This window comes from Homo sapiens, chromosome 16, assembly GCF_000001405.40.
Source record: "Homo sapiens chromosome 16, GRCh38.p14 Primary Assembly".
Lineage (NCBI taxonomy): Eukaryota > Metazoa > Chordata > Mammalia > Primates > Hominidae > Homo > Homo sapiens.
This window is the reverse complement of record NC_000016.10, coordinates 69,793,419-69,805,994: the sequence shown is the minus strand read 5'-3', so window position 1 is coordinate 69,805,994 and position 12,576 is coordinate 69,793,419. Positions and strand designations below refer to the sequence as shown.

General features: G+C 42.7%; 1 protein-coding gene across 12 annotated transcripts in view; it reads right to left on the bottom strand.

Moving 5' to 3' along the window:
- The window catches only part of WWP2 (WW domain containing E3 ubiquitin protein ligase 2), a 179,408-nt gene that overhangs the window by 135,745 nt on the left and 31,087 nt on the right, over positions 1 to 12,576 (bottom strand). For all 12 annotated transcript variants that reach the window (XM_017022879.2, XM_017022881.2, XM_011522823.3 and 9 more), the window contains 2 exons: positions 7,166 to 7,313; positions 6,700 to 6,821 (listed from right to left, as the gene is read on the bottom strand). In XM_017022879.2, coding sequence (XP_016878368.1) covers positions 6,700 to 6,821; positions 7,166 to 7,313 — 270 coding nt within the window. The remainder of the gene's footprint in view (positions 1 to 6,699; positions 6,822 to 7,165; positions 7,314 to 12,576) is intronic.

Here is a 12,576-nt window from a genome sequence, read left to right as displayed (position 1 = left end):
AAACTACTGGCCTCAAGTGATCCTTCTGCTTCAGCCTCTCAAAGTGCTGAGATTACAGGTATGAGCCACTGTGCCCAGTTGTAGAAATTAATATAGTAATTTAAAGAAGAAAAATCATATAATCATTCCAATGGCTGCTTAATAGATATTTGATACAAAGTCAACACCCAACCTGGGCAACATAGTGAGATACCATCTCTAAAAAAAAAAAAAAAGAAAAAAAATTAAATTAGTAACACACCTATAGTCCCAGCTACTCCAGAGACTGAGATGGGAGGATTGCTTGAGCCTGGGAGGTAGAGGCCACAGTGAGTGGTAATCATGCCACTGCACTCCAGCCTGGGCAACAAAGCAAGATCCTGTCTCAAAAAAAAACTCAACATCCTTCCTGACTTTTTTTTTAACCTGCAATGATTAATAAATCAAAAAGATTCCCAGTCAGAAAGGTGCCAAAAAATAAAATAAAAAAAGAAGAAGAAAGCAAAAAGGTTACTAATACCCAGCCTTACACCTAGAAGTTATTTACTAGAGGGCATTTCTCTATCACCACTAAAACAGAAAGTTTTATGCAAAGCAACTAACACAAAATAGAAATATAATTATCTCTTAGGATTAACAAAATTATCAGTGTCACAACCCACATAAAAGTCTACCAAGCAGGCTGGGCGCAGTGACTCACGTCTGTAATCCCAGCACTTTGGGAGGCCGAGGCAGGCAAATCGCCTGAGGTCAGGAGTTTGAGACCAGCCTGGCCTTAATGATGAAACCCCGTCTCTACCAAAAATACAAAAATTAGGCATGGTGTTGGGCGCCTGTAATCCCAGCTACTCAGTAGTCTGAGGCACGAGAATCGCTTGAACCCAGGAGGTGGAGATTGCAGTGAGCCAAGATCATGCCACTGTACTCCAGCCTGGGTGACAGAGTGAGACTCCATCTCAAAAAAAAAAAAAGTCTACCAAGCAAACTCAAAAGAAACTACTGCAAACCTATACTAAAGGACTCAGTAAACTGACAGATTACAAAAGAAAATGCAGAAACAGCCATTTACCAACAATACTGAGTTAGAAGACAGAATAAGAAAAGATCCCACTGAAAATAATACCAAAGGTTTTTAAAATTTAAAGTGGAATCTATTTAAAGATAACTTCAAAATTATTTGAATTAATTTAGAAACATTCCATGTTCCTATGTGGGGAGTTCAGTATGAAAATTCCCCATTACGTTAACTTTACATATGACAGGACTCCATAAAATCTCAAGAGATTTTTTAGGGGGCATGGGGAGTAGGAAGAGGAGAGAATCTGATGAAACTGTTAAGGTTCATCTAGTGATGTGATATATGCAAAGAAAAGAAGCATGAAGACTTTGAAAAAAAAGAGAAACTTAACTGCCAGATATTAAAACATAATTTTACAATAGCATAGACAGAGTGATTTGGAAAGGCTAATAAAACGATGGATTCAATGGAAAGTCCCTAAGCAGGCCCAAATACACATATGTTTTTAATATAAGCTGAAGCAACTCAAGTCATTGGGGAAACAGATGGATTATTCAATAAGTAGTGCTAAACCAATCAGCTACATATTAGGGAAAAAAATGAATTAGATCCCTATTTGTACTGGGCACAAAAATAAACTCATGTGGATGCAGAATTAAATGTGAAAAAATAAAATCATAAACACCCAGGAAAAAATAAAATCATAAACACCTAGGAAAAAATAGAGGTGACCATTTACCTCATCTCAGAAGGGGGAATGCCTTCCAAAGCATGAAAGAAAATGCTGAAAACATAAAGGGTGACAGATTGGACTACAGAAAGTTAAAAACATACAAAGTTAGAATGCAAATGAAAAACTAGAAAAACATTTACAAATGGTAAGACGAAGAATAATAACCTTAACAAATAAAGAGTTCTTTCAATACCAAAAGAGAAAAATGCACACTTCAATATAAAAATGAGCAAAGGACATTAATAGGGCAATAAACACTTTTTTTTAATCCTTCAGTAGCCTTCAACAAATCACAGCTTTAAAAAGTAGGGTGGAGGCTGCTCTGCCATTCTTTATTCCTTTACTTTATTTTTTTTTGAGACGGAGTCTTGCTCTGTCATCCAGGCTGGACTGCAGTGGCACAATCTCAGCTCACTGCAACCTTCGCCTCCCAGGTTCAAGTGACTCCCCGGCCTCAGACTCCTGAGTAGCTGGGATTACAGGCGTGCGCCACTGTGCCCAGCTAATTTTTGCATTTTTAGTAGAGACAGGGTCTCACCATATTGGCTAGGCTGGTCTCGAACTCCTGGCCTCAGGTGATCAACCTGCCTCCGCCTCCCAGGTCTGGGATTACATGTGTAAGTCACTGCGCCCTGCCTTCCTTTACTTTCTTAACAAATTTGCTTTCACACACACACACAAAAAAGCAGGGTGGAAGTGGGGGGCCTCAGAGATAGAACAACCAATGAATGGACCTTCCCAAACCCAGGTTCAAGCAAACCAAATGTAAAACTGCAAAACGACATGTTGAGAAAAATGGTGAAACTATGAACAGGTTATTAGACATAAATAGGAATTCATGTCACTATTGCTAAATGTGATAACGATACAGTAATTGTGTAAGATAATGTTTTTTTTATGTAAATGTTCCAAAGTAAAAAAAAAATAGAAAAAAGTAGAAGAATTAAAATAAAGAAAATGTCCTGTTTTAACAAGATGCATGCTGAAGAATCTAGGATAAAATGTCAGGACGTCTAGAATATACTTTAAAATACTTCTTATTGAGAGGCCAGGAGATCAGAGCAAAAAAGTAAAAAATAAGAAAATAAAAATAATTCAGCCAAAAAGAAACAGGAAAAGCAAATCCATCATAATGTTAATAGTTATCAAATAGGAAAAAAAAAGGCTTTTTTTTTTTACAAGTAATATCCAATATATGCCAAGGTACAATACAAACCAGAAATTTCAGCCACTGCTGATGGGAAGGTAAATTGTACAGGTCTCATAAGTATTTATTTGAAATGCTTGGGACTGGAAGTGTTTTGGATTTCAGATTTTTTCAGATTTTGGTATATTTGCACATACATAATAAGATATCTTGGGCCAGATGCGGTGGTTTATGCCTGTAATCCCAGCACTTTGGAAGGCCAAGGTGGGCAGATCACTTGAGGTCAGGAGTTCGAGACCAGCCTGGCCAACATGGTGAAACTCCCGTCTCTACTAAAAATAAAAAAATTAGCTGGGCATGGTGGCAGGTACCTGTCATAATCCTAGCTACTTGGAAGCTTGAGGCAGGAGAATCACTTGAACCCAGGAGACAGGGGTTGCAGTGAGCCGAGATCGCGCCACTGCACTCCAGCCTGAGCGACAGTGCGAGACCCTGTCTCAAAAAAAAAAAAAACAAAAGGAAAGAAAAATCTTCTGACGCATGTTACAACATGAATAAGCCTTGAGGACATTATGCTGACTGAAATAAGCCAGTCATAAAAGGACAAATACTGTATGGTTCCACTAACATAAGCTACCTGGAAAAGCCAAATTCACAGAAGCAGAAAGTAGAGCGGTAGCTGCCAGGTGCTGGTGCGAGGGGAGGATGGGGGAGTCATGGTTTAATGGGACAGAATTTCAGTTTTGCAAGGTGAAAAGAGTTCTGGGGATAGATGGTGGTGATGGTTGTACAAGGTGAATGTACTTAACACCACTAACCTATACACCTAAAAATTATTAACGTGATTAATTTTACATCATGTGTATTTTATCACAACTAAAAATAAATATAGGCCAGGCACGGTGGCTCATGCCTGTAATCCAGCACTTTGGGAGGCCGAGGCGGGCAGATCACGAGGTCAGGAGATCGAGACCAGCCTGGCCAACATAGTGAAACCCTGTCTCTGTTAAAAATACAAAAATTAGCCGGGCATGGTGGTGGGTGCCTGTAGTCCCAGCTACTCGGGAGGCTGAGGCAGGAGAATCGCTTGAACCCAGAAGGCAAAGGTTGTGGTGAGCCAAGATCGCGCCACTGCACTCCAGCCTGGGCAACAGGGCAAGACTCCGTCTCAGAAAAAAAAATAAATAAATAAAAATAAATATATATTGATACATTTTTAAAGAGAAAAAGGCATATTGCAAAATAATATGTTCATGTATAATCTCAATTTAGTTTCATTGATGTCATAAACATCAATATACGTCTACAAATATAAAAAAAGATCAGAACAAGGATCTGAGGGGAAAAAATTATTTAAAAGATAAAATTTAAAAGCTCAAAAATGTATACATCAAAATGTTAACAGTAGTCAGGTATAGTGGTGCACGCCTGTGGTTCCAGCTATTCCGGAGGCTGAGGCAGGAGATGGCTTGAGGCTGGGAGTTTGAGGCTACAGTGAGCTGTGATCGTGCCTATAAATAGCCACTACACTCCAGCCTGAGCAATATAGGGAGATCCCATCTCAATCTAAAAATTAATTAATTGGCCAGACGCAGTGGCTCGCATCTGTAATCCCAGCACTTTGGAAGGCCAAGGCAGGCGGATCACTTGAGCTCAGGAGTTCCAGACCATCCTGGCAACATAGTGAGACCTACTCTCTACTAAAAATATGAAATACAGCCAGGCCATGGTGGCGTGTGCCTGTAGTCCCAGCTACTAGGGGTGGGGGCTGAGGTGGGAGGATCACTTGAGCCCAGGAGCAGAGGCTACGGTGAGCCGAGATTGCACCACTGCACTCCAGCCTGAGTGACAAAGTGAGAAACCTGTCTCAAAAAATATATATATATAAAAATAAAAATTAATTAATTAAAGTAAAATTGCTTTTTTTTTTTTTTTAAGACTTGCTCTGTCACCCAGGCTGGAGTGCAGTGGCGCAATCTCGGCTCACTGGAACCTCCACCTCCCGGGTTCAAGCGATTCTTCTGTCTCAGCGTCCTGAGTAGCCGGGATTACAGGCGCCCACCACCATCCCTGGGTAATTGTTGTATTTTTCTTAGTAGAAACAGGGTTTCGCCATATTGGCCAGGCTGGTCACGAACTCCTGACCTCAGGTGATCCACCCGCCTCAGCCTCCCAAAGTACTGGGATTACAGGCGTGAGCTACCACCCCCGGCCATAAAATTGCTTTTAAAAAAACATTAAGAATAACTATCAGGCTGGGTGCAGTGGCTCACGCCTGTAATCCCAACACTTTGGGAGGATGAGGCGGGCAGATCACCTGAGGTCAGGAGTTCAAGACCAGCCTGACCAACACAGTGAAACCTCATGTCTACTAAAAATACAAAAATTAGCTGGGAATGGTGGCACATGCCTGTAATCCCAGCTACTTGGGAGGCTGAGGTGGTAGGATCGCTTGAACCTGGGAGGCGGAGGTTGCAGTGAGCCGAGATTGCACCACTACACTCCAGCCTGGGCAACAGAGTAAGACTCCATCTCAAAAAAAAAAAAAAGAAAAAACAATAACTATTACTAGGTGCTGTGCTTAGGGGCAAATTTTGTTTTCTTTCTGTAATTTACAATTTCTACAAGGACTTTTGCTAACCAAAAGCAAAAGTATATTGGCTGGGCAAATGAAGAGGAAAAAAGGACCCTCATGCTGGTTGCTGCATCCTAATGTGAGGCTATCCACAAGTATATTTCCAAATATTGCAATAAATAGAATTCTCCCTGATGATCAAATTACAAAAGGCTGGCTAGGGTTTGGGAAAATAAACACCAATTCAGAAGACAAAGCAATCAGGGAGTTCTCTGCAGGATTAAAGTGGAGGCACATCTCTGGTTTTAAACAATTCCTCGGGCCAGTGTGGGTTCAGCACATCTCTATGTGCCCAGCCGAAAAGAAAAGACCAGAGGAGGCTCAAAGACCTTTCAAGTGGCCCATCGCTTAAAAGGACAGGCTTGGAGAGAAAAGAAAGACTCTTAAATCATGTAACACGCTCGCTGGGACGCAACTCTCCCCGCCCCCACCTCTCTCTTAAGCTACATCCACTTTCAGAAAATACTTTCCAGATATCAAGAGAAAAAGGAGCCTTTCTTTCCATGCCATTCATTCGCCACATATGGTACTGCTCTGAATAGAGGCCTTATGAAGGAGGGTCCAATACCACCGCCATGGGCCATGCCACTGACCACAAACAGCAATAAATAGATGAGGATTTATATGTCCGTGACGTAGAGGCACGTTGGCTAATTCAGATGGCGCGTCCATCACGTTCCAACATCCAGTAAATGTTTACTGAGTGCCGAGTAAGCACAGGGCACTATTTGTAATACTATCCCAGACACACACGTGCACACATGCACACAGGCATGCACACACACACATATACGTATACACACAGCTCCTTTGTTCTGTTTTAGGGCTGAGGCTAGAAAAGCAATGATTTAGGCTAGAGGTATTTGACAGTTTCATTCAACATATCACACATCTCCTGCAACGGGAAGAGGAGCAGAGGCAGACAGAAAGTTTCCAGTCCCTAAGGAAGGATAAAGGGCAACACACCACTGCATCACATTACTAGAGGCCCTGGACAAAGAGGGCTAAACTCTGTAGTGGAGGCAGAGAGGAGCCCTCAGCCTTCCCAAAACTCCAAAGACAGCATCCAAGGAGAACAGAGGTACTGCAGCCCCTAGTCCTGGGGGAAATTGCAATACCAGGTTGATCTGCCAGGTCCTCCCATCCCCACCCAAGAATCACGTCGGCACCCCCTTCATCATACGTACTTTTGCCCCCATTGTTCTTCAAGACGTTGGAGAGGTTGACAGATGCGGTGCCTAGCAGTTCATTTCTCAAGGTATGGCAGCTCCAGACCTTTAAATCTAAATGACTCTGTGCCGTGACATTCCTGAAAAACAAATACCTGATTCATTACATCCAAGCAGATCATTCCTATAACTTAGAAGAAAACATTTAAACTAAACTGCTGACATCTTGGGGAGGGGGAACCAAAACAGGCAGACACCCACATATATCCTTTCCCCTCTCAAAGCTGACCCTGTAACCCTCTAGATAATAATGAACGCTCTATGAGCTCAATGGTGTAGGAACACCTAAAAAGAGTCACCTTGGGTACCATAGGTAGAAAAAGTCGGAGGTGCCACAGGGAATCTGTACCTCCCACAACCCCCTCGGAGCACCCTCTCTCTTTCCCCATCTTGCTGCGTTCAAAAAGAAGGGGCTTTCTCTTACAAAATGATGATCTCATTCCAGAGAAGCTCAGAGCTCCCAATGCGCTTCCCAGTCTTCTTGGTCTCACTGGGGAGTCCATCCACCGCCACCTCCACGTAGGAGTTAATTCGAGGTTGACGATTATGCACCTTGGGCTTTGCGGACACCACTGGGAGAGAAAGAAAGAAAAAGTCAAAGATGAGTCCCAGGGCTCCCAGATGCCCCCCTGTGGCAGATGTTCCGGCTCTTTTTAGTTATTGCTTTAAAAAATAAATCAATACATTTTGTTTTGTCTTGATTCTAAAAACTTTTTAAAGAAATGTGAGTACACACACCAAAAAAAATATGAAGTGTAAAAAAAAAAAAAAAATCCCTAACCTGAAACCACTGGGATAACTGCCAGTGATCATCATCACCAATTTATCGTTGGTAAATTGCCTTCCAGATTTTCATCTTTTATTTATTCAATTCTTTAAAAATTCTTCACCCCCATAAGTCACTCTTAAATGACTGCAATACAAGCCCATAATAGGTATATGTTAACTATTCTTTCATTGTCGAATAGACTGCTTGCAATTGTTCGCTCTGGGGAAATTACCGTGAACATATACATCTGCATGCCTTTCTTGAGTATTCCTCCAAAGGATACGAACACTTTTTAAAGTTCTTAAAACTGCCCATTCCTTTCCAAGAAAGGTAAACCCATGTAGCCTCCCATCAGTGCTACAGGAGAATATTCATTTTACCAGACATCACAGAGTGCTAAGGGATATGCTTGTTCACTTTTTGCAAATCCATGGGTTAAAAACGCATGGTGTAAAGACAACAGCTAAGGCCGGGCGTGGCGGCTCATGCCTGGAATCCCAGCACTTTGGGAGGCCAAGGTGGGAGGGCTGCTTCAGCCCAGGAGTTCAAGACCAGCCTGGGAACATAACAAAATTTATAATTTTTTTTTTTTTTCTGAGATAGAGTTTGGCTCTTGTTGCCCAGGCTGGAGTGTAATGCCACAATCTCGGCTCACTGCAACCTCTGCCTCCCAGGTTAAGCAATTCTCCTGCCTTAGCCTCCTGAGTAGCTGGGATTACAGGCGCCCGCCACCGTGCCTGGCTAATTTTTGTATTTTTAGTAGAGACAGGGTTTCACCATGTTGGCCAGGCTGGTCTCAAACTCCTGACCTCAGATGATCTGCCTACCTTGGCCTCCCAAAGTGCTGGGATTACAGGCGTGAGCCACCGCACCTGGCCAATTTATAAATTTTAACTGAAATAAATAAAGATAATATTTAAGATTTTATGAGTACTTATTAAAGACCCTCTGCCATGTGCATACATTTTCTAACTGAATCCTCACAACAAACCCATGAGGCAGGGAATATATCATCACCCCATTTTACCCAGGAGAAAACAGGCTTGAGAGGCAAGGTCACTCTCCCACTCTACATAGCCAGGGAGCTACAAGCCAGACTGTGCACCCGGCCGGTCTGATTCCACATCATGCTGCATATTATTATTGAACTTTACTTATTTGTTCTATTGCTGTTCTTCGATTACCAGCAAGGTTGAATATTTTTGCCATGTGTCGTTAGTCATCTACATTTCTTCTTCCGCTCATAGCCTTCATGTGGCAACAATTCTGATGTTCGTTTGGGACCAGCAAGCCAAAGACTCATGGAGTACAAAGCTACACAAGCATCACACCGAGGAGCTAGACAGACATCCTAGTGTATATTACCCCTGGTGGAAACGCCAGGTCGCTAGGGTAAAACACATCTAGACGTCTCCCATCCTGCCCCAAATCAGAGATACAACTGATGCTCCCTTGCCTGTAATGGCAAGTCTATCCTAGCCTGAGCTTCCCTGTTTGAGTATAAGCAAATCCCTCCCTCCCAGACTCTTCTGAAAGGTGACAGTCCTACAATGGTGTCTACAACTTGGCAAAGGCCAAATTCACCTTCAGATTTTTTATAGCAGTAACTATCTTCCTCTGGCCCCAAAGGAACAGAAGGGAGGAAGACAACAGATAAAAAATCAGCTGTGGCTAAGATTCAGAAGCGACAAGGGAACAGTACTAGGGACAAAGGTTTGTGGTACTGAGGCATGGCCCAGGGTAGAAAAATGAGGTGCAGTGATTTACACACGGACCAAGGTTAACTGAGGCCACCTGGTGGTAAGAGCATGAATCTACATGCCTTTAAAAAATAGGGACTACAAATGGTGCATTACTTAGGACGTTTGACTTTACAGGGGTGCGAAAGCGATATGCATTCAGTAAAAACTGTATTTTAAATTTTGAATTTTGGTCTTTTCGCAGAATAGTCATATGCGGTACTACTGGGCAGCGGCAGTGAGCCGCAACACCAGTCAGCCACGTGATCACAGGGGCAAACAATTGATACTCTGCCGTGTACCCCTTCACCAGATGATCTTGCCTAGCTGCGGGATATCGAAGTGTCCTGAGCACATTTAAGGTAGGCTAGGCTAAGCTATGATGCTCGGCAGATTAGGAGTATCAGATGCATTTTCAACTTGCGATATGTTCAACTTATGATGGGTTTTTCAGGACGTAACCCCACTGTAAGTTGAGAAGTATCTGCGCTCATACACATACACACTTTTTCCTGAAACTCTGAGAGTAAGCTCTAGACATTGTGCCCCTTTACTCCTAAATATTTCTGGGTGTATTTCCCAACAAACACATTTTTTAACATAACCAATAGCACAATTATCAAAATCAGGACATTTAACTTTTTATAATACTAATATTTAATTTACAGACTTTATTCGTATTTTGCCAATTGTCCTATCGATGCCCATCATCGCAAAAAAAAAAAGAAAGAAAAAAAAATTTGTTCTGGTCCAGGCCCCAATCTAGGATCATACTGGCATTTAGTACTCTTATTTTGAAGCAGGGCATGGTGGCTCACGCCTGTAATCCCAGCTCTTTGGGAGGCCGAGGCAGGCAGATCACTTGAGGCCAGGAGTTTGAGACCAGCCTGGGCAACATGGCTAAACCCTGTCTCTACCAAAAATACAAAAACTAGCTGGGCGTGGTGGGGCACAACAGTAGTCCCAGCTACTCAGGAGGCTGAGGCATGAGAACTGTTTGAACCCAGGAGGCGGAGGCTACAGTGAGCTGAGACCACACTCCAGCCTGGGTGATGGAGAGAGACTCTCACAAAAAAAAAAAAAAAAAAAAAAAAAACCTCCTATTTTTAAGTTTCCAATCTATAGAAAAATTGAAATAGAACAATAAATACTGTATACTCTTCACCAATTGTTATCATTTTGCCACATTTGCTTTCTGTTCTATGTGTCTATAGCATCACTACCCAAGAGAACTTCCATGATGACGAAAATGTTCCACATCTGTGCTGCCCAATACATTGCCATGAGACACATGTGGCTATTGACACTTGAAATATGGCTAGTGCAAATAAGGATATGATTTTTAAATGTTATATAATTGTAATTTAAGTGTAAACAGTTCTATGTGGCTACAGTGACTATTCTATTGGACACCAAAGGTTATAGATAAATGCCATCTATGTCTCTGTGTATGTGTGTGTGTGTGTGTGTGTGTGTGTGTGTGTGTATCCGCATTTTTTTTCCTAGGTAAAACCATTAAAAAGTAAGTTGTAGACCGGCTGGAGTGCAGTGGCACGATCACGGCTCACTGCAGCCTCGACCTACCTGGCTGAAGCGATCCTCCCACCTCAGCTTCCTGAGTAGCTGGGACTACCAGTGCGCAACACCACGCCTGGCTAACTTTTTAATTTTTTTTGTAGAGACGGGATTTCACCCCATTGGCCAGGCTGATCTCGAACTCCTGGGCTCAAGGAATCCACCTGGACTCAAGCGATCTACCCGCCAGAGCTTTCCAAAATGCTGGGATTACAAACATGAGCTACTGCCCAGTCCCCAGACATATTTTTAAAGCCATTTTTCCCCCAATTCAGTACCTAATCAATATATACAAATTGCCTGTGGCTACTATCTCCTTAATCTTTTAAAATCTAGAACATCCTCCCTTCTTTTCCATGGCAATGATTTTTGTTTGTTTAACTTTTTGGTTTTTTTCTTTTATAATCCCAGCAGCTTTGCCAAGGCAACAATGATTTTTAAAGACTTCCACCAGCTGTTTTAAAGAATGCAGCAAATTCTACATTTTTCTAATTGTGAAACTGCCTTTGCAAAATTATGACAGAGAAATCGGACATAGTTGATTCCATCTTACTTCTGATTTCTAGGCTGTCCTTGGTCATTCCTGGGCATGGGCCAAGCTAATTTTGGGAGAAATTTAGTTTATAGTTTCTTTTTTTTTTTGAGACCGGGTCTCCCTCTGCTGCCCAGGCTGGAGTGCAGTGGTGCAATCTCATCTCGCTGCAGCCTCCACCTCTGGGGCTCAAGCGATCTTCCCACCTCAGCCTCTCAAGTAGCTGGGACTACAGGTGTGAGCCACCATGCCTGGCTCATATTTGTATTTTTTGTAGAGACAGGGTTTCCATGTTGCCCAGGCTGGTCTCAAACTTTAAGCCTGAGCTCAAAGTCATCCACCCGCCTCAGCCTCCTAAAGTACTGGGATTACAGGCATGAGCCACCACACCCAGCCTATAGTTTAATCTTAAAGCAAGGATAGCTGGGCATGGTGGCTTATGCCTGTAATCCCAGCACTTTGGGAGGCTAAGGGAGGTAGATCACTTGAGACCAGGAGTTTGAAACCAGCCTGGCCAACTTGGTGAAACCCCGTCTCTACTACAAGTACAAAACTTAGCCGGGCGTGGTGGCGCACGCCTGTAGTTCCAGCTATTCAGGAGGCTAAGACACGAGAATCGCTTGAACCCAGGAGGCAGAAAGTGCAGTAAGCTGAGATTGTCCAACGCACTCCAGCCTGGGTAACAGAGCAAGACCCTGTCTCAAAAAAAAAAAAAAAAAAAAAAAAAGCAAGGATAATAACAGCCCTTCCCAAAACGAAACCACCTTTGTAAAACTAATCAACAGCCACAAGGTTAGGATTATGGGAGGGGCTTGAATTCTAATAAGAGGTAGGTATAGTTTCTATAATCCCTTACTGCTCAGGAGTCATGAAGCCAGAGGTCACAAGATTTGTGACTTCCCCAATTGCTCCCATAGATAACATCGCTATTGCAGAACCTAAGGTTGGTCTTTTGAGATTTTTTCTTTCTGGCAATCTACTGACTTTGCCTGGGCCCGTGACTTGACTCGTGAAACAAATTATCCTGTGGCCCCACCCAGAAGTGGACTCAGCACAGGACCATTTTCCACACCTCTATAATCTCATCCCCAACCAATAAGCAGCACCCATTCCCTAGTCCCCTACCTGTCAAATTGTCTATAAAAACCCTAATCTCTGAGCCTCCAGGAAGACTGATCTGAGTGATAACTCTGTCTCCCATATGGCCTGTTTTGTGTCAA